At 38.8% G+C, this 24,606-nt stretch overlaps 1 protein-coding gene across 31 annotated transcripts in view; it reads left to right on the top strand.

Moving 5' to 3' along the window:
- The window catches only part of NIN (ninein), a 111,741-nt gene extending 89,098 nt beyond the window's left edge, over positions 1-22,643 (top strand). For 17 of the 31 annotated variants that reach the window (XM_047431452.1, XM_047431439.1, XM_047431453.1 and 14 more), the window contains 7 exons: positions 678-824; positions 2,919-3,098; positions 4,120-4,266; positions 6,789-6,890; positions 12,683-12,883; positions 16,340-16,453; positions 18,734-22,643. In XM_047431452.1, coding sequence (XP_047287408.1) covers positions 678-824; positions 2,919-3,098; positions 4,120-4,266; positions 6,789-6,890; positions 12,683-12,883; positions 16,340-16,453; positions 18,734-18,943 — 1,101 coding nt within the window. In that variant the 3' untranslated portion in view covers positions 18,944-22,643. Of the gene's footprint in view, positions 1-677; positions 825-2,918; positions 3,099-4,119; positions 4,267-6,788; positions 6,891-11,422; positions 11,484-12,682; positions 12,884-14,654; positions 15,174-16,339; positions 16,579-18,733 lie in introns of those variants that run through there. The other 14 variants (XM_047431449.1, XM_047431451.1, XM_047431446.1 and 11 more) reach the window with 4 other exon arrangements.

Below are 24,606 nucleotides of genomic sequence, written 5' to 3'. Positions count from 1 at the left end.
AAAAAAAAAAAAAGGTGAGGTTTCTTTGTATCCCAGGCTGGATCACCACTTGCTGCCACCTCAAACTCCTGGGCTCAAAGGATTCTCCCACCTCAGCCTTCCAGGTAGTTGGGACTACAGGCACACGCCACCACACTCAGCTTTTTATTTTTGGTAGAGATGGGGGGTCTTGCCATCTTGCCTAGACTAGTTTGAAACTCCTGGGCTCAAGCGATCCTCCTGCCTTGGCTTCCTAAAGTACTGGGATTCCTGGTGTGGGCCACCATGCCTAGCCTAGAATAGGATTCTACAAGTATATATTTTTATTTGCAACTAAGAGGGTCCTTTACAGTCCAACATCATAGGCTAAAACAATTTCTACAAAATTCAGTGAAACCATCTTTTGTGATGCCAGTTGGCACCCATTGGTATTGTAAGATACCATTTAGTAATCTACCAGATGACTATCAGCAATACCTTGCTCCAGACATAGTTCATCATTGTCCTAAATATAATTTAACATCCTGTAAATATACCTACTGTCCTAGGTTTCCACTGAGCTACTGACAAGAAAGCTGGATTTAGTAAAGAGAAACAAACAGACTTGAAAGTTCTTTTGTCCTTATTCATTCCTGAACATGCTAGAGGTGAGACCACAAGAGTTTGTGTAGCAGTAAAAGATCATTCTCACAATACAGGTTCAGAATTTAGAAGACACCGTGCAGAATGTAAACCTGCAAATGTCCCGGATGAAATCTGACCTACGAGTGACTCAGCAGGAAAAGGAGGCTTTAAAACAAGAAGTGATGTCTTTACATAAGCAACTTCAGAATGCTGGTGGCAAGGTGATTTGTTCTTTTTTTATTTAGGTATAAGTTATTTACAGTAAAGTATACAAATCTTAGGACAACTTGGTTATTTTTATGTGTATATGTATGTACATATAAATATGCATATTTTATGTATCTGTGTTTGTATAACCATCACTTAGATAAAAATGTAGAACATTTCCAGCACTCAGCAGGCTCTCTCTTGTTCCCTCCAGTTGGTAACCCCAAGGGAACCACTTTTGTACCCTCTGCCACTGTAGTTTAGGGATGCTTTTTTCTAAATTTCATATAAATGAAACCATAGTGATATAAAACAGGTCTTTTTTTTGTATTGAGCAAGTCAGAAGACCATGGCTGAGTTGAGTTTTGTAATAACAAAACTAAAACATTTTCTTAAATGGTAGAGAAAAGTATTTGTGTGACCTTAAAAAAAATCAAATGTAGAAAAACATTGCAAGAAATTAATCTGGGAACTTATACACAGACTTGCAAAAAAGTACAGCTTCTGCTAAAAAGGCATAAAACAATAGTATTGAATTTCAGGAGATAATTCATTGCTACAAATAGGTTGCTATGGCACCAGAAAGTCCAGGAAGAGCTGATTAAAGTGTTAGCTGGCTGACACATTATGGTGGTGTGGTAGAAAGTGTCTCATTTTAATAAGTCACAGTGCTGCCTAATCTGTGTGCAAATAAATTAAGAACAATGTTATAGATGTCATTTTGGGGCAGATGTCAAGATTTTGTCCTACAATAAAAGTAGACACATTCAGTTATCTCTTGGTGAAACTTTTTATAAAAAAACTAGTTGTTTTGGGCTGGGTGTGGTGGCTCATGCCTGTAATCCCAGCGCTTTGGGAGGCCGAGGCAGGCAGACCACTTGAAGCCAGGAGTTCAAGACCAGCCTGGCCAACATGGCGAAACCCTGTCTCTACTACAAATACAAAAATGGCCAGGCATGGTGGCTCACGCTTGTAATCCCAGCACTTTGGGAGGCCTAGGCGGGCGGATCACGAGGTCAGGACTTCAAGACCAGCCTGCCCAACATGTTGAAACCCCATCTCTACTAAAAATAAAAAAAATTAGCTGGGCATGGTGGCGAGTGCCTGTAATCCCAGCTACTCGGGAGGCTAAGGCAGGAGAATCGCTTGAACCCGGGAGGGCTAGGTTGCAGTGAGCCAAGATCGTGCCACTGCACTCCAGCCTGGGCGACAGAGCTAGACTTTGTCTCAAAAAAAAAAAAAAGCCAGCTGTGGTAGTACATGCGCCCATAATCCCAGCTACTTGGAAGGCTGAGGCATAAGAATTGCTTGAGCCCGGGAGGTGGAGGTTGCAGTGAGCTGAGATCGTGCCACTGCACTTCAGCCTGGGTGACAGAGTGAGAGTCTGTCTCAAAAAAAAAAAAGTTTCCATTTTTAAAATTACTTCTGGGTTGACTTTTTCTGAAAATGAGATTGTACCTTTTTTTTTTTCATGTTTGGTTTAAAAGGTAAGAGGCTTATCTATTTGTGTTATCTTTTTAATTTTTTAAATCATTTTCAAGATCCAAAAAATCACTTTGGTAGCTGAAAGCACATTTCTGAATTCAGACGTTAATTACATGGACAATATGTGCTTTGGATTCTAAAAAAAGGATATGATTGCATATGTGAAAATGAAAGTAGAGTTTAGCCTATGAAAGCTTTTGAGTTGGCAGTGCATTTCAGCCTTCTCTTTATGTCCTCTGTGAATCAAATGAATATCTTCTGGGCTTAAAGATAACTTCGTAAGAATGAAGCAACTTTTAAGCCACCAGTCTCAATGCATTTGGGTCCTTTATGGAACTGGGCCTTGCCCTACAGTCATATTCATTATTGGACATGGCATGGCTGTTTTGTCAAAGACCATTTTAAACAGAGACTCTCCAAATCTTTTTGTTTAAATCAAACTTCAAGAATATTGTTTTATTCATATTTATATGTACATACACATACTTTCATTAGAAGACTGAGGGGACAATTGAAAGGTACTTATTAGGAGTCGTTGTCATTGGGTAAACATGACACCTGTCTCAAAACAGCAATTACCCAATAGCTTGTTTTTAAGGCTTACACTCTGCAATTCTCTTAAGAGCTGGGCCCCAGAGATAGCTACTCATCCATCAGGGCTCCATAACCAGCAGAAAAGGCTGTCCTGGGACAAGTTGGATCATCTGATGAATGAGGAACAGCAGCTGCTTTGGCAAGAGAATGAGAGGCTCCAGACCATGGTACAGAACACCAAAGCCGAACTCACGCACTCCCGGGAGAAGGTAATTGGAGAAGCTGCACATCATGGCATATGTTTGAAAATGACTAGTTTGATAGGAAAATGAATGTTGGATATGATTGGAATGGTTCTAAGGTATGGATTTGAGTATCCTGCTATAGCAGACTTATTTTAAGAATGTATCATTTATCATTTACTCACATATAATTTTATCCTGATGTTTATAAAATATTTTTATAAGCAGTTTTATATTAAAATATATTTGTGACTTTAATCTTCATATCCAAAATATAGACTCATGGAAATTATGTGAACCATATAGTCTTCAAATTGGCTGGCCACCAAGACTAGTAGTACAAAAATGGTAAAACTAGACTCAGATCTTGCAGGTCTAAATAACTCCTCACGAGAGAAAAAGGTGCCTCCTTTAAAAGACAGCATTTCAAGGTTTAAGGTCTTTTCCAACCACCAACTTGGTGCTTGAATTCCTTACCTCTGCTGCATAGTCTCCCAATGATATTTAACCTATGCTTAACACCCCTTTTGAGGAGGAACTCTGAAGAGTCGCAGATATTTAGTTAGAACACCTACTCCATGCCAGAAACTGCTATCACGGATGCTGCAGTGGTGAGCAAGACAGACATGGTTCATGTCTTCGTAGAACTGTTTTAGATGTGAATAGTCCAATAAGAGCAGATGGGAACTGTCAGCCCATTCTCTCCTAAAAGTAGTGTTCATGTCAGAAAAAAAGGGCCTGGGACCACTGTGCCTGTTTTCCTGGCAGCCACATCACATACACTGTTGACTCCTGGAGAGTTAGTAGACCCAGAAGTCCCCTCTTCCCAGTCTTGTTCCTACAGTCCTGGGTTTGCAGACCCAACCAGACTCACCTAGAAAGGGTCTTTTGAAATCCAGAAAAGCTAGCTTCAAGTATTTACAGGCTTGATTGAAAAAGGATGTTAAACAGGACCCAAGTACTGAATTAAAACTTTCCCTATGTTTGTTGTTTTTGCTGGCTGGGTGATTGTATTAGCATTTTTTCCTCTTACATTTGTTCCTGTTAGGTCCGTCAGTTGGAATCCAATCTTCTTCCCAAGCACCAAAAACATCTAAACCCATCAGGTACCATGAATCCCACAGAGCAAGAAAAATTGAGCTTAAAGAGAGAGTGTGATCAGTTTCAGAAAGAACAATCTCCTGCTAACAGGAAGGTGAGTTTTTGAGAATATATGGCGTACATCTGTGTTCTCACTATAATGCGTTCTTAAGTGTGTTTCTTCTCAGGTGTACTTCTAAGGAAATGATTACGATGGCATATTTTGGCATGTATCTCTTTATGCTGTTATCTTGTCAAAATAGCATCGTGGTTCTTTTTGATTGAATAATGGTTGAAAAAATAACAGTTTGGCCGGGTGTGGTGGCTCATGCCTGTAATCCCAGCACTTTGGGAGGCCGATGCAGGCAGATCACCAAGTCAGGAGTTTGAGACCAGCCTGACCAATACGGTAAAACTCCATCTCTACTAAAAAAACACAAAAATTAGCCAGGCATGGTGGCACATGCCTATAGTCCCAGCTACTTGGGAGGCTGAGGCAGGAGAATTGCTGGAACCCAGGAGGCGGAGGTTGCAGTGAGCTAAGATCACACAGTGTACTCCAGCCTGGGTAACAGAGTGAGACTCTGTTTAAAAAAAAAAAAAAAAAACAACAACAAAAAACCACAATTTAAGCTTCTTAAAGAAGGCAATTAATCATCTTTATTAGTATTAGAAGCCCTTATAAGTTGGCAAAATATTTATCACTCGAATATTAGAAACATCTTAATATGGGCTTTTTTTTTTTTTTTTTTTTTTTTTGCTATGTAACAAATTAAAACAACATTTCTTGTCTTATCTGCAAGTCAGGATTTCAGAAGCAGCTTAGCTGGGTGGTCCAACTCAGGGCTCTCATGAGGATGCAGTCTACATGTTGGCCAGGCCTGCAGTTACCCGAACGCTTCACTGGGGCTAGAGGATCTACTTTACAAGCTCATTTGTACAACTGTTAGCAAGAGGCTGCTGTTCCTTGCTGGCTGCTTGCCTGAGACCTCAGCTCTTCACTACCTGGGCCTTTTCTCAGGGTGTAGCATCTGGCTTCCCCCAGAAGGAGTGATGAAACAGACACTGAGACCGAAAGACCAAGACAGAAGCTGTGGTCCCTTTATGATCTAATCCTGCGAGTGACATACCAACATTTCTGCTGCACTGTATTTGTCACGCAGACTAACCCTAGTATAGTGTGGGAGAGGACTGTATAAGGGTGTGAATACCCGGAGGTGGGGCTCTTTGAGGCCTCTTGGAGGCTGGCTACCCCCTGGTCACACCTCTGCAGTGCCAATCAGTTTGCTTTCTGTAATTTGTCCCATGAAGTTAGAGTTCTAGACCAGACTTCTCAGAGTTGTTACTTTTCTTTTTCTAAACTGAAACTCAGTTTTCACTATTACCTCTTTATAAAAAATATGGTCTGTTTAGAAATCTGAGAAAAATATTTCATTATAAAATATTCATAAAATTTTTGTTTTTTGTGAAAGTTATCATGACCATTTGCAGTAAGAAGACCTGGTTGTGCTCTAAAGCTGAAATGTCATTTAATTTCAGGTACATTCAAGTAAACTTTGCAGAAAGAAAATGGGTTTCATTTAGCTGCTCATTAGGGGGAGAAAAGTCTGTGATAGGCTTTTAATAATACTGAAGTTTAAAATGGACCTGGAAGACTACACTTCTGTTTCACAATTCTTGCTGTTCTCCTCAGCTCTTTTTGATAGAAGCAAAATCAGCTTTCTAAGATAGTGTTGTATGTTTTTTACTGAGCAATATTCTGACTCGGTGTCCTCTAGCTCACTAGGTTCTTCCTGTAGTAAAGAGTTATAAAAGTGAGGCTGGACGCGGTGGCTCATGCCTGTAATCCCAGCACTTTGGGAGGCCGAGGTGGGCAGATCACGAGGTCAGGAGTTCGAGACCAGTCTCATCAACATGGTGAAATCCCATCTCTAAAAAAAAAAAATATACAAAAACTAGCTGGGTGCAGTGGTGCACACCTGTAGTCCCAGCTATTTGGGAAGCTGAGGCAGGTGAATCGCTTGAACCTGGGAAGCGCAGGTTGCAGTGAGCTGAGACTGTGCCACTGCACTCCAGCCTGGGTGACAGAGTGAGACTCTGTCTCAAAAAAAAAAGGTACTCACGAAATCTTTAAAATTAAAAAGTTATATAAATCAGGTTTTATGTACTCTCAATTTTAAGCCTTTAAGTTTGCATTAAGACAGTATTTTTCCTGCTGCAGATCCATAGTAGAGGATAATGAAATCAATTTAATGGAAACCAGCATTTTTTATTAATATACTACAAAATATCAGAGTACATGGTCCATGGTAAGGATATTTCAGTGATATGTACTGTACATATGTGTGGGTGTGTGTACTGCGTTGTAAGATAAAACGTATTTCTTACAGTGGGTGGCATCCAAGTTTAAAAGCCAGCTGCCTTAAGGAATCTATTCTGTGTGAGGACAGGTGATTAAAACTAGATTACTTAAATGTAAGCAATACACTGAATTGTATTATTTGTTTGTCACTGAATTAACTTGGCTTTCTTCCAAGAGTTGAGATTTCTGACAAGCACAGATTTGTCAAAATAAAGTAGAACAACTCAAGTGTTTTTGTTTCTGTTTCAAGGGAATATTTTGTTTTTTTTAAACAGGTCAGTCAGATGAATTCCCTTGAACAAGAATTAGAAACAATTCATTTGGAAAATGAAGGCCTGAAAAAGAAACAAGTAAAACTGGATGAGCAGCTCATGGAGGTAAGTTTCTCAGCAGATGGCCTTAGCTATGAAGAATATGTTAATCCATGAATGAGGTATTTGTTGGGAGAGACTAGACATGGCATTGAATTCCCGTTGTGAAAATCTAAGTACACTGCCAAGTTGAATTCTTTGGTCCGCCTTACCAAGTTTAACAGACAACTTTGCTTCATTATACTGCCATAGGAAGCCATACTGCTTTTCAGAGTAAGTAATAATGATGACCTAAAATGCAAAGACCTGTACCTCTGCAAATTCAGGGGGCAGGGACTCTCTGATTAGCCAAGGGGCCCTGAGCACTCTTGCCATCACCATGTTTATACCAGTTCACTGATCCCTCCTATATTGCAGCATTTTATAGACATGATTGATCTCTAGCACCCTCTTCAGTTGGGAAATCCATGCGGGAAATTTGAGAGCATTAACATTTGGAAGTTTTAATTTCAAGTGCTGCTATTCTTCATTACTACATTTAGAACTCAGGACTGCCTTGTGAGAGGTACATCTGATCACTATGAAAATGTATTTGTGGCCGGACATGGTGGCTTATACCTGTAATCCCAGCATTTTGGGAGGCTGAGGCAGTCAAATGGCTTGAGTCCAGAAGTTCAAGACCAGCCTGGGCAACATGGCGAAACCCTGTCTCTACAAAAAAAAAAAAAAATACAAAAATTAGCCAGGTGTGGTGGCACGTACCTGTAGTCCCAGCTACTTGAGAGGCTGAGACAGGATTGTTTAAGCACAGGAGTTGGAGGTAGCAATGAGCTGAGATCACACCACTGCACTCCAGCTTGGGAGACAGTGAGAGACCCTGTCTCAAAAAGAAAGAAAAAGAAAAAAAATGGATTTGTAAAACTAGCTTGTCAGCTTGGACTTTGAGTTCCAGTCTTCTAGATTGCTTTCTGAATACCGAGTTTAATTATAGGATATAACAAACTTATGTGTACATCCTTCTTAAGGATTTCATTGATATACCTTGGGTAAATGAAATTAGTTAATCTAACATTTAGTGAACTATAAGACTTATGTAAGGCAGAGAAGAACCTGTAGAAATTGTCTTTTTGTGCTCTTAAAAAGTACTGTGTATACACATATTGTTAAGCCAGAATTATAAGAAGAAATGGGGCCGGGCGCAGTGGCTTACCCCTGTAATCCCAGCACTTTGGGAGGCTGAGGCAGGTGGATCACCTGAGGTCAGGAGTTCGAGACCAGCCTGGCCAACATAGTGAAACCCTGTCTCTACTAAAAATACAAAAAAATTAGCTGGGCGTGGTGGTGGGCACCTGTGATCCTAGCTACTTGGGAGGCTGAGGCAGGAGAACTGCTTGAACCTGGGAGGCGGAGGTTGCAGTGAGCCGAGATCACGTCATTGCACTCCAGCCTGGGCAACAATGCCGGACTCCATCTCAAAAAGAAAAAAAAAAAAAAATAAAGAAGAAAAAGAAGAAATGGAGCTATTTAAGTATTTTCTTTTATGAAGCTGGCCACATGCAAAGGTAGCTTTTAAAAACCAAGCACCAAGCATTGATTTTTAATGTGAAATATGGGCAAACGTATAGCACTAACATTAAATCACCAGTGAAGTTTGTCAATTTTGTGTTCTCTGATTTATCAACTAAAGGGGAAATTCATGAAAGTTTTAGTGAAGTCTAAACCATTTTTTCTTTTTTTAACAGCAATATAATGAATGCATTCAAAACTTTGAGCTGTGGGCTGTACTTAGATGTAGACATGCTTTTCTGATGAAATATAATTATATACTCTGAGGAATAAGATGTCTAAAACTAAGCCCATATGTCTAGTATCAAATTGAAAAGTAGCAGTGTGTACTTAGTCACTGTGAGAGCCTTTCCAGAGGCTCTGCCAAGAGACCAGTTCTTCTCCTGCCTGTTCCTGTTTTACCCAGCACCCATTAACATTATTAGCCATCGTAAGCAATTTCCCCTTGTTGTTTTCCCACCTAGTAGTAAATATTTGCTAACAGAGGAGGAAAATTGAGTGTTCTTGACACTGGAGCCGAACAGCTAAGGAAAAAGCATGGATTTTTCTATTTGAACACTGAAAAGAACATCTCATACCTATTTATTCTAATGAAACTTTCATTAGGAAATGGAACTGAATTATTGGCCAGGCACAGTGGCTCATGCCTATAATCCCAGCACTTTGGGAGGCTGAGGCAGGTGGTTCACAAGGTCAGGAGTTCGAGACCAGCGTGACCAACATGGTGAAACCTCATCTCTACTAAAAATACAAAAATTAGCTGGGCGTGGTTGTGTGCGCCTGTAATCCCAGCTACTCAGGAGGCTGAGGCAGGAGAATCGCTTGAACCCGGGAGGCGGAGGTTGCAGTGAGCCAAGATCGTGCCACTGCACTCCAGCCTAGGCAACAGAGCAAGACTCCATCTCAAAAAAAAAAAATTATTAATGCTATAGATTTACACAAATTGGATATTTTTTTTGAGATTCTGTCACCCAGGCTAGAGTTCAGTGTTGTGATCACAGCTCACTGCAGCCTTGAATTCTTGGGCTCAAGCAATCCTCCCACCTCAGCCTCCCAAAGTGTTGGGAGTTCCCTGATCTCTCCTATATTTCTCCAGATTGAAGTTTTTAAAAACAGTGTTATTGGCCGGGCGCCGTGGCATGCGCCTGTAGTCCCAGCTACTCAGGAGGCTGAGGCAGAAGAATCACTTGAACCCAGGAGATGGAGGTTGCTGTGAGCTGAGATCGCACCACTGCACTCCAGCCTGGGTGACAGAGCAAGACTCCGTCTCAAAAAAAAACCCAAAAAACAAAAAAACAAACAAAAACAGTGTTATTGAGGTATAATTCACATATTATGTAGTTCGCATATTTCAGGTGTACAATTCAATGGTTTTTAGTATATTAATTTTTAACCTGTGATAAATATATACCTAACATAGAATTTGCCATTTTAACCATTTAAAAATGTACAATTCAGTGGCATTCATTAAATTCACAACATCCTACAACCATTACCACTCCTTCCAAAACCTGTTCATCACTCGGCTGTAGCTATTAAGCATTAACCATTCCCCCTCTCCAGCGCTACAAATTGGATTTTTATTTATAGTATGATACCTATAGAGTAGGTTAATTTGGGGGATGCACAGTGTGTCCCAGCTCACCTGAGGGATAGGTACATTCCTTCTCACTCTGGCAGGGATTCTTACCTGATTGGGGCAACGGGTGGCAGGCTGGGCAGGGACAGGTTTCTATATCAGAATCTCTGGATTCAGGGGATTTGAGCACAGCTGTCTTCATGGTTCTAACCTGATATGTGCACTCCCTTGGGGGAAGTAGTCTCTCATCTCTATATACTAGTTTAACAGTCACGGTTCTAACATAACACATCCCCCCACTGTAATTAAAGATCACAGATCACTAGACTAGGTAAAGAAAAAAATTAGGGCTAGAATTTGACGCCTACTTCGGAGCTTTTTCAACATGAGCGGTTCAATAAGTTTGTTTTGAACACTCAACAAAAGGGTTACAGACTATATCAGCAGTTCTCGAGTCTCTTGTGTACCTCTATGATAGCTAACATTTCAGACACTTAAACAACAAAATGGCTTATAGTTTATACTGCATTCTGCGTCTCCAAGTGGCAAGAGATTTAACATCAGATCCATTCTGTACTGGACCTGGAATAATCTTTTTTATTTATTTATTTTTAAACGGAGTCTCGCTCTGTCACCAAGTGGGAATGCAGTGGCGCGATTTCAGCTCACTGCAACCTCTGCCTCCCGGATTCGAGCGATTCTTCTGCCTCAGCCTCCCAGGTAGCTGGGATTACAGGCGCCCACCACCATGCCTGGTTGTATTTTTAGTAGAGATGGCATTTCACCACGTTGCCAGGATGGTCTTGATCTCCTGACCTCGTGATCCACCTGCCTTGGCCTCCCAGAGTGCTGGGATTACAGGCGTGAGCCACCATACGCGACCTAATTTTTTTTTTTTTTTTTTTTTTGAGATGGAGTCTCACTGTCACCCAGGCTGGAGTGCATTGGTGTGATCTTGGCTCACTGCAATCTCTGCCTCCCAGGTTCAAGCAATTCTCCGCCCTTAGCCTCCCGAGTAGCTGGGACCAAAGGCGACGTGCCACCATGCCTGGGTAATTTTTGTACTTTTAGTAGAGACGGGGTTTCACCACGTTGGACAGGCTGGTCTTGAACTCCTGACCCCAAGTGATCCGCCCACCTCGGCCTCCCAAAGTGTTGGGATTACAGGCATGAGCCACTGCGCCTGGCCTGGACCTGGAATCTTCTAAATCATTATATTGGGCGGGGCACAAATAGGATACAGTAAGTGAAGATGCACTTGTAGAATTAGAGTTGTAAGACATTTTAATGTCTGTAAATTTATATACAGAAAAATGTGTCTTTCATATGCTCTTATTCATGTATATAATAGACCTAATTAGTACTGTTCTTTCTCTTTTTATTACTCATACTTTTCTCTAACTCCTGTAATTTTCTCTTCTTTTTGTCTTGTCTGTGGCTAACCTGTACCTAGAACTCAGTGGTTGGAAGTAGCAGAGAAGGGTGCAGTTCTCTGCCTGAGATAGTGTGTGAAGGTAGAACATTCTCTTTCAATGAACTTTCATAGCATGGAGCCATCTCATTAAACCCCTTGCTCATGTTATTTCTGTTGATTGTAACAGTTAATAAGTACTTAAGGAAAGAGCCAGTATTCATTTTGTTTTAATGGTATAATATGTCTGTTTACATCAAACTTTTCCTCAGTATTTAAAGCATTATATATGAAGAAAATTATCCCACTGATATAAAATTATGGGATAATTCTCCATAATTTTTATCATGAAAACAAAGTGGTTTTCTGAATCTACAACTAGAGGTATTTCAAAGTGGGCAATGCCCCCACCCCCACCTAGAAATTTAGATATAAGGAAATGGATAGTGGCTCTGACATTTCATGACAACATTTAGTTATAGCCGAGTCTTAGAGGTCCTTTTCCACCTTCTCACAAGCCTGGAGGTGCCGCTTCTTGAGTTTAGTCTTGGTAATGTTTGTTGCATGCTCCGCGTGTGTATAGATGTGAGGTGGCCTGCCTCACTGCCCAAAATGCTGTGCATCGTCCTCCCTTTCCTCTCCCCCACTTTGACTGGCATGTTGGTACACATTTCCTCATTGTCTTGAATACTTCCATTCCATGTTCTCCAGTTCCCAGATGTTCTAGGATATTATTGCTTTATGCCCCAGAATTGTCTGTCTTGTGCTGTTTAATCTAAGGGTATAATTACATATTGATAAACTAAAGGTAGGTTAAAATAATTTTAGATGCAAGATGAGGTTCTTCCAAAAAAAATTGCTAACTTGGGGTTGGAAAAAATATAGTCATTGAACATTTAACAATCTTTATGAATGGTAAAGTGGTAAAACCCTAAAGCATAGCCACTTTCTCCAACCCGTTTTTAAAAGGGGGGAGGTAATTATTCCAGTATAAGAAAAAATGAAATAGAATTCACATGTATTATGTACATCGTGCCCTTAATATCACTCCAGAGTTGGGAAGGGCTTTTTAAGCCTAAAACTTTTAAGAAAGCCTACTTATTAAGCATATTCTCTGCTAAGCGAAATAGCTTTTCTCATTTCTGTATTCCTCGGGCCCATATGCTGTCCTGTTTCCAAGTTTCAGTGGGTCTGGGGTTATTAATGAATTAATAGTCTTCATTACTCACTGCCTGACACCATAAAGGGCAGCTCTGGGATTGAAGGGACTCAGCTGAACAGGGCTTTGCCCTTGTCCTTCAGATGCAGCACCTGAGGTCCACTGCGACGCCTAGCCCGTCCCCTCATGCTTGGGATTTGCAGCTGCTCCAGCAGCAAGCCTGTCCGATGGTGCCCAGGGAGCAGTTTCTGCAGCTTCAACGCCAGCTGCTGCAGGCAGAAAGGATAAACCAGCACCTGCAGGAGGAACTTGAAAACAGGACCTCCGAAACCAACACACCACAGGTATGAAGCTCTCTCTACTCTAGTAGATCACCTGTTAATTTTACCTGTTTATTTGAAAGTTATACCAGTTCAAAGGTGGAGAGAAAGAACCTAAATCTAATGGCACACACCTGTAGTCCCAGCTACTTGGGAGGCTGAGACGGGAGGATCGCTTGAGGCCAGAGGTTCAAGGCTGCAGTGAGCTACGATCATGTGTGTGAATAGCCACTGTACTCCAGCCTGGGCATCATAGCAAGACTCCATCTCTTAAATTAAAAAAAAAAAAAACAAAATCACAATCCTAAATCTTCTTTCAGAGAGATATTTAACCTGTATGACAAATCCATAGAACTGCGGTGCTACTTTTGAGCTCTCAGCTTCTAAGCTGAGTCATTTAGTGTTCTGTAATAGACGATTTGCCCATTTGTAATAAACGATGAAGTATCAGGATCACTTAAACACAGCGCACAATTGGCCTGATGTTCCCATCCCATGCCAAAAATATTACAGAATTTAAATGTTGCTAGGATATGCGCTACTAACAAAGTACACTGAGCTTTCCTGTGCCAGAGCCGTGCAGCCTGCTGCATCCCATGAAAATCACAAGTGATGACTTTTCACAACAAATAGAGTGTATAGTCAGTGACATCTTTCTAGTTGACATAGTTCATAAAACTATTTAAGAAAATAAAAATCTTTTCATTGTTTGCATTAGCATGATCCCAGCTCACCACCACATCCAATCTTATATTACTTAGGTTTTCAAGTATTCAGAGTTATTTCTCTTTAATGCTTCATTCATCATCCTTTCTCAGAAGTTTAACTCTTGCAGCTTGCCTATTTAGTTAATTCAGAACTAGGAATAAAATAAAAAGTCCTTCTTTGTGGAATTCTACATTAATCCTTTCTGGTTTGCATGCGCTTGTGTGTTCAGATACCTTGCCACTCAGTTAATGCTTGACAAGGAATTTCCTATCTCTTATTTGAATCCCCTCAAAGTGGCTTTGCAGTCACATTAGCTCTGGAACTCTACATAGGAACAGTTCTGTTTCTTCTACTATCCATCTATGTTTAATTACGAAGTACTCCTACCACTTGTCAGTTCTAATAAACTTTTCCCTCTACATATGTACCTATGCTGTATTTCTAATAAACTTTAGAAGGTTTTTGTTTTATGAGCTTTAAAATCTGTTTTTGGAAGCTTTATACATACCTCTTCAACTTCCCAGTATTAAAGTTCTTAAATTGTGATGGTAGAGTGTTAGATGCTTTAACTCTCCAGTATATAATTGAACTACAAAACTTTGATCTCAGTTTTTAGTGGACCTTCTAACCAAATGATCCGCCAAGATTCTTCTCATTGCTCTCTTACACCCTATTTTCAAAGCCTGCTGTTTCCAACCCACCCACCAATGTTAAAAAAAATATCCTTTTCCTCCAATTCCTTCAGGATTAGACAAAAACTAAGATTTTTGAAAGAAAAAAAAAATCCTCCAACCAGATGACAGAGTGGACGGCTTATTACTCTCACCAGAATGCTACTGCAGGCTCTCCCATTTCCCGCTGCTGAGCTGACACTAATTTTAAGAATGCAGAATATTGTTAAATCTGCACGTTTCTGTGTGTGGAGTGATGTGATCTCTTCTGCATTTTGTGTTGCTTTGCTTGCCTATGTAGTGTTAATGTGTGTGCTTTTAAAAATTGTTTGCATTGTAGATGTGTGAATTTAGACTCCCCCTAAAAACTCATCCTGACATGAGGGTGAAGTGTACTACTTGCCTTCTTTCTCTAGGCCTTGCTACCGGAGCAGCGAGCAGTGCACGCAGATTCCTACAGAAGGATTGGGCACCTGTGAAAACTGGGCTGCTATTGATGGCATTTCTTACCATGGCAGACAGATGCACACACCCACCCATGCACACACACCACACACAGAGACATAAGCTAAGATATGTTGGAATTAAGTGCTCTTTTAAATTATTTTATTATTTTTACTGTTAAACCTTTGCAGTATTATGTCTCTTATTTATTTATGTAGAAATGACAGATCTTGTGAATCAAATTCACAAACATCAGCTTGTTACAAATCATTTTATTTATACCCTTTAAAGAGTGTGGATTTAAGATTCTTGAAAGGATGTAGTCTATATATTTTCTCATTCCATATGTTGTAACTATTTTTAACCAAAGGTACTACTTTTATATATGGAATTTGAAGAAAACCAGGGGTATTTATACTGTTTTGTATAAGATGTACAAATCTTTTTGACAGGAAATTTTTGATGAAACAATAAAATAAATTTTAAGTATATGACTGCCTTTGTTTTTCCTGTTTTTCCACTCTTTTGCCAACTCTATGTTCTTTGAATTATCTTTTTTTTTGTTTTGCTTTGTTGGGCAAATAGACATCATTTTGTATTTATGTTTGAACTTTAAAAAGCTATTATTTTTTTTTAAATATAGGCCTTTTTAAAAGCTAGATGTCCTCCAGGCCCAATTTTTTGTAACTTACTTCCTGCATTAGACCTTTGCCTATTACAATTTTTATCCTCCGGATAGTTACTACATGATTTAGGGTTTCTTTTATGATTAAGTGTTACTACTTAGTATCTAAACAGATGGTAGCCTTTGACTCATGTTTAGTCATTCTGCATGTCTTTTAAAGTATATCTTAACTACCATCAGCTGTTAATACCTTTATGAAATCTGAAATTCCTTATGGGGACATTTTGGTGGACTGCAGAGGGATGGGGGTTGCATTCTAATAAGTCAATTGCATTCTAATCTCTCTAGGTCTCTCTCCTCTCCAAAACTCACTTACTCCTTAACCCATCACCGTTGTGTGAGAACAGGAGATTTTTCATTTTCAATCTGCTCTGATAGTAAACCCATCCTCCAATCCAGATGTGTGCTTCACATTTACAAGTGGGAAACAGATGACTAGAAAAATTGGCAGGAAGAGGCTATTATGAAGAAAGAAACTTACCACCCTCACAGTCATCAGCCACTTCAAAGGAAAAACAGACATGCATATTGCAAGCTGATTGGTTATGTTAGGAAACCCTGAATATATTCAGTGCTTGTTTTGTTGTTGAGAGGCCCATAACATTGCAGAGACCCAGATCACAGATGGGAGGTTGATAGCGATCTTCCAAGTTACCTTGGATGTCCATTTTACTAGAGGTACTCACAGGTATTAAATTATGGGTTTTCAGAATTTTGCTTTATATCAGGGGGATGATGGTAACACAGGTAAGATTCTTTTGATTTTTCAGTCTGATCCTTTATCTGATAGGGTTACTTTTCTGACATATGCAATCCATGCAGGGCTCAAAACTCTCATTTCATGAGAAATCCATCCTTCCTGTTACAAAGGCAAAACATTTGCTGTCCTTTCTCTAGGCATCTTGTGGGGAAAATAAACCAGTGTTTTCAGTGTGACATGATTTTCGAATAATATACTTTTCTTCCCTTCAGGGAAACCAGGAACAACTGGTAACTGTCATGGAGGAACGAATGATAGAAGTTGAACAGAAACTGAAACTAGTGAAAAGGCTTCTTCAAGAGAAAGTGAATCAGCTCAAAGAACAAGTGAGCCTACCCGGTCATCTCTGTTCACCCACCTCACATTCCAGCTTTAACTCCAGTTTTACATCCCTTTATTGCCATTAACTCGTTAACTTATGTTGTCTAATAAAGGCAAATTCTATTATAAATGTCTGTAAGAACTTAGGATTTGCTATCCCTCATATCACCCCAAAAAATACGAACTCTGTATTTTTTCCAAAGCTCTGTTTAAGGCATGTTTGTCCACAATTTAAAAGTGTAAATCTTTGCTAACATGATTTACATGGACCTAAGATTTTAAAGATCAAAAAAAATCTATTGATTCACATAGACCTAAAGCATGTCCATTCACATGCTTTAGGTCCCTGTGAATCAACAGATTTTTCTCTGCCCAAGACAGGAAATATTCCTATTTAAATTGAAAAATGATATTGGTTAAAAAAATAGGGGGATAATAAATGGAACTTTAGCTTTCCTGTTCCCAACAGCTTATGAAAACCTCAACAAGTATCTTATTGCTACAGCTAGACTCCAAAAAGATGTACTTTGAGTTAGAATCTAGACCCCAGATTCCAGGACCACTTAAACAGCCTGCTCCTTTTCACCTGCTGGTGGCAGATGTGGCCTTGGTGTTTAGAAATTAGTTGCGCATCCACTGAAGAGACAAGCAGAAAGTACTACCCTCTGGGAGAGTGTTATAGCCTCTCTGGAAACTGAGATGAACATGTGGGGTGGGGGGCAGAAAATGCCCAACCTAGTTCTTTAGATACTTAAAAGCTAAGAATAACAACCCCAAGAGAGGGTCTGAATTCAGCTGTAGACAGCAACTTTTGGTTGTCCTGTTTCTTAATACACAGGGAAGAAAAAGTCCCATTCAGTGAGCATTTATCCATTCAGTTCTTTACATATTCAAGCATTCAACACATAGTTACTGTGGGCCAGGTCCTGCCGTGGGCACAGGGATACAACAGTGAACAAAGCCCCTGCCCATATAGAATGCACTTACAAGGTGCCAAGCGTTTGGCCAAATGGTAGGTTCAGAAATAAGTGGGATCCGTCCTGTTTTCAGTAGAGGAGAACACAAGAGAAAGACATATTTGATCCAACCCAGGAGTTTAAAGAAAGCTTCCTGAAGACCTCTGAAGCTGCATCTTGAGAGTTAAGATTTCAACTAGTTAAGAAAGTGTGGGGAAGGGTATCCTAGGCTGTGGGAACATCATGGAGTTATGACCACATGTGGGGTGTGGACACGTATAAACACTTCAGCATTGCCAGTTCACACTGTCCTGGGAGAAGCAGGAGGAGAGACTAGAGAGGAAGGGGGAACAGGACAGTAGGCCTCCAGTGCTGAGCCAAGAAAGAAGCTTGATTTTTATTCTGTCGGCAATGAAGAACCATCAAAGTGTTTTTTTAAGGAAAGGAAGAGAGGGAGGGAGGAAAAAAAGTTGTATTCAGGAAGTTCAACAGAAAATATGTTCTGAAATGTTATGTGATGTCTGCCAGTCATCTAGGTTCTGAGCTTGAGAGTGCTGTCATCCTTATCCCTGCCCTTTGAAATGCTAATAGGTTGTTAAGCTACTCTTTAGTTACTCTTTATTCTCATAAACCTTTATACTTTTAGATGCCCTACTTGAAATTGGGTGTAAAATGAACACTTGTAACATGGGAAGGGGGACTGGAAAATATTAACCAGAACAACAATGAAAGTATCCCAAGGCTGCTAACAAGTTTTCCCACCCCAACCTAGACCATATATTCTAACTATAAAGATTAGACTAGACAAGGCCCCATGCAAAACAAAACAAAAACAAAGACAATTCAGGAGAAGTAACTGCCCAAATCTTATCTCTGTTATAATACATGAGCTAAATTTTAAAATAATCAGTGGGTTGTAGTTACGAATGGTAAGTTCAAGTATCTGTTGTTACAAGCAGAGTTAAACAGTCCACACCTGACACCTCAGGAATTTAAGTTATAAAAGTATTTGATATTTTTAAAGAATAAATACAGAAATAATGCCTATTTAGGTAGAAAAAAAACTTTTGGTGCCATCTAATATCAATCTGTTCTATTAGTAACTGACATAAACATCTCATGCAAAGAAATAGCTTAGAAAAAGTAGATTTGTTCCAATGGTGTCCCTGATGCCAAGTCTGATGTTAAAGCTATTTTGTAAAATAAAAGAATATAATTAGACGAAGTGATTTGCCTTTATAAAACAACTGTCCTTATGTCAGACCTTAAACTGAAGGTTTAAGAAGAGTTACAGAAATGGAGTCAAGATGTTTCTGGTTCTGTTTCTAGCTCTGCAAGAACACTAAGGCAGACGCAATGGTGAAGGACTTGTATGTTGAAAATGCCCAGTTGTTGAAAGCTCTGGAAGTGACTGAACAGCGACAGAAAACAGCAGAGAAGAAAAATTACCTCCTGGAGGAGAAGATTGCCAGCCTCAGTAATATAGTTAGGAATCTGACACCAGCGCCATTGACTTCTACACCTCCTTTGAGGTCATAGCCAAACCAAAGGGTACACTCATATTTGTGCACTTTACTGAAATAGATGAACATTTCAGTAGGTTCTCAACTTAAAATTAAGCCTAACCTAAAACTGCCAGCAACACAACTGGAGTTTCCATTTATCATAATTAGTTTTTCTAAATAGACCCTTATGGGAGTTTGAAAATAAATACTCACATATTTCACTACTTAAATTATTCCCAAGATTTGAATTTATTTTAAAATTTTAATAGCCACCAAGAATGTGGACATATGAAAATTCAAGAACCTAAAAAATACCAGTTTTGAATGAGTTTTTGTGGTTTTGGTTTTTTTTTTAATTATTACAAATCTATGTGTAAAATCTAGATATTTGAAGTTTGAGATCTGATGAGAATGGTTGTTATAAACTTTATTTTAAAACCAAATTTAGGTGTTCTTACATATTTAAATACTGGAAAGTCATTATAATAGTTTTGGTTCTTTGAATTGGTAGACAATTAGTAGAGTATAATTGGTTAGGAGGCAGGGCTTATTAAGTGGTTATTAACCGCTGACATCAGACAAACCCAAATCTGTAGAATTCTAACCTTCTAACACCTGTGACAGTATTACCACTCTTCTTGTATTATAGATTTAGAACTGATTTACTCAATTGCACTCTTAACTAATGTTAAAAGCTTACTTGCTTTAAACAGCCTTTTCTTCTTTCTCTTAAAAGTTTCATTTGGGGAGCTGGTCTTCTAAGAAACGGATAAAGCCACATAATTAAAGCAGTTGAACTATAGGGAAAGCACTGAACAAACCACTTTGGAGTAAATAGCTACTCTTAGAAAAGAGGGATAAGCAGACCATGTAGGTTTTCTGTCTCTCAAATCTTAGAGTTCATAAATTTACTTGAGGTTGCCTCAAGAACTCAGGGAACAATACTGTAAACTGTCTTCCTGAACTACTGTAGGGCCTCTCTAAGAATTTGAAATGTATAAACCATGTGACCTCATTTATTTGTCTTATATATTTACAGCCATACTAGAATTTTTATTTCTACGTTTTTAGTAAATTTAATATTCTGGGGGAAAAAAGGCCTTGATTTTAGGGTTAAAAACCTGACTTATAGAAGAGTTTATTTAATATAGGTCAAAATTTTCTGTGTTTCTTATTCCTTCTATACCTCAAATCTGATTCTAAGAATTTCTTACTGTGATAATCATTGGCATGCCACCTGAGGTCAAGGAGTGCCAAATAGGACTTTCCACTCATGCTCAAGATCAAAACTTTATAGAACAGTCAACATTTTAGATTCGGTAACCTTTTTTTTCTTCCAATTATAATCTCTGCTAGCCACTTCCGCCAGCAGTTGGTGGAAGACTTACTAGGTGCAGGGCACTTTCCAAGTTCATCACAACAACCTGCTTGTTTTCATGAGACAATAATCCGAAAAGTTCGCTTTGATATATTCCTGGAGGGCCAAGCCCATCTATTTACAAAAGGTGAACAGCAAAATCAAGCACTGCTTTATGGGCAGGAACACAAGAGAAAGCAAACTGCCCAAGAAGTCATCATGTCAGAAACTCAATCTCAACAAAATAATTTCCATCAGGGAACTTCAGGGTTTCTTGGGGGCTTATGAGTCTCACCGGTCAACCCAGGAGGCCTCACTACAAGAGCCTTGACAAGGCACTGTTTTTTGTGGGACTGGGAGTTCACACTGATGAAGCAAACCTTTGAATTTTTGCACAGCTCTTGTCAGAAAGCCCTGAGTTCCCCCTGGATAAAGAGTTAATTTTAATCCTTCCCTATAATTATACTTCAAAATATTTGACATCTGCTATTATGCCTTCTTTAGATCTTTCTTCTGTGGTGCAGACATTTCTAGTAAGTGTTTGACTACTTGTATGGCATTAGCTTTCACAGAAAATTGTTTCACTTAAAACTGTGGATTGGCCTAGGCTAAGGACAAAAATAAACTAAGTACCTGTAGTGTATTTATGTGATATGTGTCAAGTTACTCAAAGTTATTGCTGTTGGAACTGAACAATAATATTTCCCAGATAGCTGGCCTTAGCATGTGATCACGGTTGTTGTATTTTTAATTTTTGTCTTTTACAGTATGAGAGGTGTAGGTTAATTTGTTTATTTCCTATAAATTTGTATTTATGTGTATATAAAATGTACAATGAATGTAAATATGACTTTCTGGAAAGTTTAGACTACATTTAGAATCTCTATTCAAAATCAAAATGCTGCTCAAATGAATTTAACCAACATCTAGGTGCTTAATTTCTCATTTTATCCCACTTATGAGATTGGGAAAAAGATCAATATGAGAAATACCATACAGATACCTTAAATGTATGCATTTGTGCAACAATTTTTGAGAAGGTGAGTGGCAATTTATAATTTAGTTGGCAATTTATAATAGAACTTATAGCTTTTAAAAGACCTTTTAAAGACATTAAATGTAAACTTAAAAATGTTTAGATCTTGTTTCAAACTTTACAATAGCATTCTTCAAAATATTAAGTTATATATTTTATAGGCATTTAGTTGCTTATTAAAAGCACTGATTTTCAAACTTTTTGATTTAAGAACAATTATTTAAGATCGTCTCAGAAGATGGGATCTTCGTTTCAAGAAAAGGGAATCAAGTTTGCCTTTGAGATAATACGTTACACTAAGAAAAGGAAAATGTGGATAGTAAAACCCACCTCTCTCATCCTATTGTACTCTCTTCTGCTTTTTAGAAGCCTGCACTTAAGCTTAGATTTGTGAAGGGAGAGTAGAAGGGGAGAAGTAGAACCACAGTGTTTTATTTATTTTTCTAAAACTCTTACTAAATCCAGATTTTTTAAACTGTTTTAAATGTGAATTCTTCCCAGAAATTTCAATGCATTGCATATTTAGCCTTCGGCATATTTTTCATGAATAGATCATGAAGTCATAGGCTTCCAAGGCATAGGAAGAGATCTTGCAGGTCTAGTATTTTAATAATGCACTATTACCCAGGGCAGATATTATGAGAAACTGTTTCTTCTCTAAGGGTTTATGGCAGACTTTGCTTTTTTAACATGTGAGAAATGAATTTTTTATTTTGTGATTTATGTGATTTCTTTTGCTGAGTGAAGGAAAGGAGAAATTGTTGCTATTGTCAGCATCTTAAAGGTATTTCCAGTCAAGGCAAGGCTAAGTGCTTTGTGATAGTATTAAGCAAGTCATGTTTTGAATGGATTACCTGTAGTGACTCATTGGAATGATATAATTATACAAGTAATGCCAAAAACCAAGTCAAAGCCTAATTAACCAAAGCACTCATTTAAAAATCATCATGTTTGGACCTATCTGGACCTCTCAGCACTGTAAAATAGTTTTGGTTTTGTGGCATATGAATAGCTGTTTAACAAATCAAAGTTAGCTTTTTGCTTCTCAGCTTTTTTGGGCAATACAAGTTAAGTTCTTAATGGGGAGACATTATCATGGCATGACTTAAGGGAACATTGGTTTGTGAAGGAAAAACAGATTATCTAAAGCCATCTCTATGTTTCTGTTCAGATAAAGATTAATGAGTTCTGTGTTTATATCAGCTTTGTATATTTCATCTTAGCCATTCTATCCTAGAAAGATTTTAATGTGAGCTTAAGATGTAAATAAATAATTTTGCAAACATGCCTTTTGTTTTCTATATACCCTGACCTTTTAATAAAGTTTCAGTGTATTTATCATTGGTCTTTAGAATGGTAGCATCAAAATATTTCACTAAACACATTCTACAAATGCAGAATCTCAGCCCGCACTCCAGACCTACTAAATCAGAATCTTCATTTTAAAGAGATTCCCCAAGTGATTTGTATAGGATTTAGAGCATTGGGACTCCATTTCTATTATAGAAGGATGACTTTTACACCAGCCAGTTTGGGGTCCCCGTATACTGTGGCAGTGCATAGTTTACCTGCAGAATCATGACTTAACCTTGGGCAAGGCCCTGTTTGTGATTTTGGGTGCTTCAAAGATGGCTTTATTTCATGTTGCCATCTTTAGGGGTGGCTCAGACTTTCTTAATTGAGCAGCTCATGAATGATGAGATATATGCAGTTGGAAACACAAAAACAACCTAAAACCATGTTAATATGCTGAACACTGAAATGTAGAATTGGAAATGTTGGCCAAACTGACCCATCTCACAAGCCTGTTTTATTTCATTTCAAAGCTTTTATACCAACCTCATACTGCCTTTATGTGGCAGGAACTACCATTATTCCCATTTTATGGATGAGAAAATGGAAGCTTAGCAAACTCAAGGCCACACTGCCAGCTAGGTCGGGAACTTGGGACTAGAGGCTCAGGTTTGTCCTGTGTTGCAACACTTCTATCAGTTCCTACTTCTGGCAGAACTATCAGTGTTGGTTCAATGGCAACCATGTACACTGCACTCTGAAGAAAGTACTGTGTAAAACATTCCTGCCATCTGTTTGTGGTGGAGTGGTAAGATTTACACAGAAAAGAAGATTAGAAAATCTACATCCATACAGAAGATAATCAAATGTTGATGGACTCTGTGCTATGAGCACCAAAATAAGATTAGTGTCAAATGGGTAAGGTCCTTAACCTAGCATTCAATATAATTCTGCACTTCATTGAGATTTGTGCAGCCTGTGTGTTTTGTAGTCTTATTTACTGTGCAAAATTATAAGAAGTAATTTTCTAACATGTACTTGATGTCCATTTTCCCCATAATAATAGTTATGTTTTGGCCATAAGACTGGAATTCTCACTTAAATTATGTGAAATGTCTATTATATAATCTCCTGATCAAAAGGTTAAATTTCACCCAGAAGTGCTTTCTATTCTTTGGTTGCTTCACTTGCAAATCAGGAGACATGGCTAGTTTTGACAGACTTTTTTAAAAATTCCATATAAAGTTAAAATTCCAAAGCAGAGAACTGTATAACTAAATCAGTGAAATGTTGTAATGAGTAGGCAACAATGTAAAATAGAGCTGGATACCCTTGTATTAAAATAGTATTTAATTCTGAAAAATGATTACATGGGATATGCTTTACTAGTTAAGGCAAAGTAGACAGCTCTTAACAGTGCTTACAGCCCAGATGAACATTTACCAATCATTTTTCTTTCCTGTTTGGAGGCATATCTGTCTTCAAGATCAAGCAATAAATAAGTACTAACCCTGTGCCAGGTACTAACAGGTTATCTAGTATTTTAATACTGTGAACAATAAAAGGGACTCTTTAAAAAGTGTCAATGTCAAAAAAAAAAAAAGACGTGGCCGTGTTCCAAATTAAAGGAGTCTAAGTAGACATGATAACTAAATGCAGTACCTAATCCTACACTAGATTCTGTGTTGGAGAAGAAAATGTAAAGCAGGTGGTCCCCAGCCTCCTGGGCATTAGGAACCAGGCCACACAGCAGGAGGTGAGCAGCAGGTGACCCAAGCAAAACTTCATCTGTATTTACAGCCATTCCCCGTATTCCCATTAGTGCATGAGCTCTGCCTCCTGTCTTATCAGCCGTGGCATTAGATTCTCATAGGAGCGCAAACCTTATTGTGAACTGCACATGCAAGGGATCTAGGTTACGCACTCCTTAGGAGAATCTAATTAATGCCTGATGATCTGTCACTGTCTCCCATAACCCCCAGATGGGACCGTCTAGTTGCAGGAAAACAAG

Source organism: Homo sapiens, chromosome 14 (genome assembly GCF_000001405.40).
Source record: "Homo sapiens chromosome 14, GRCh38.p14 Primary Assembly".
Taxonomy (NCBI): Eukaryota; Metazoa; Chordata; class Mammalia; order Primates; family Hominidae; genus Homo; species Homo sapiens.
This window is presented reverse-complemented; position numbering and strand designations above follow the sequence as displayed.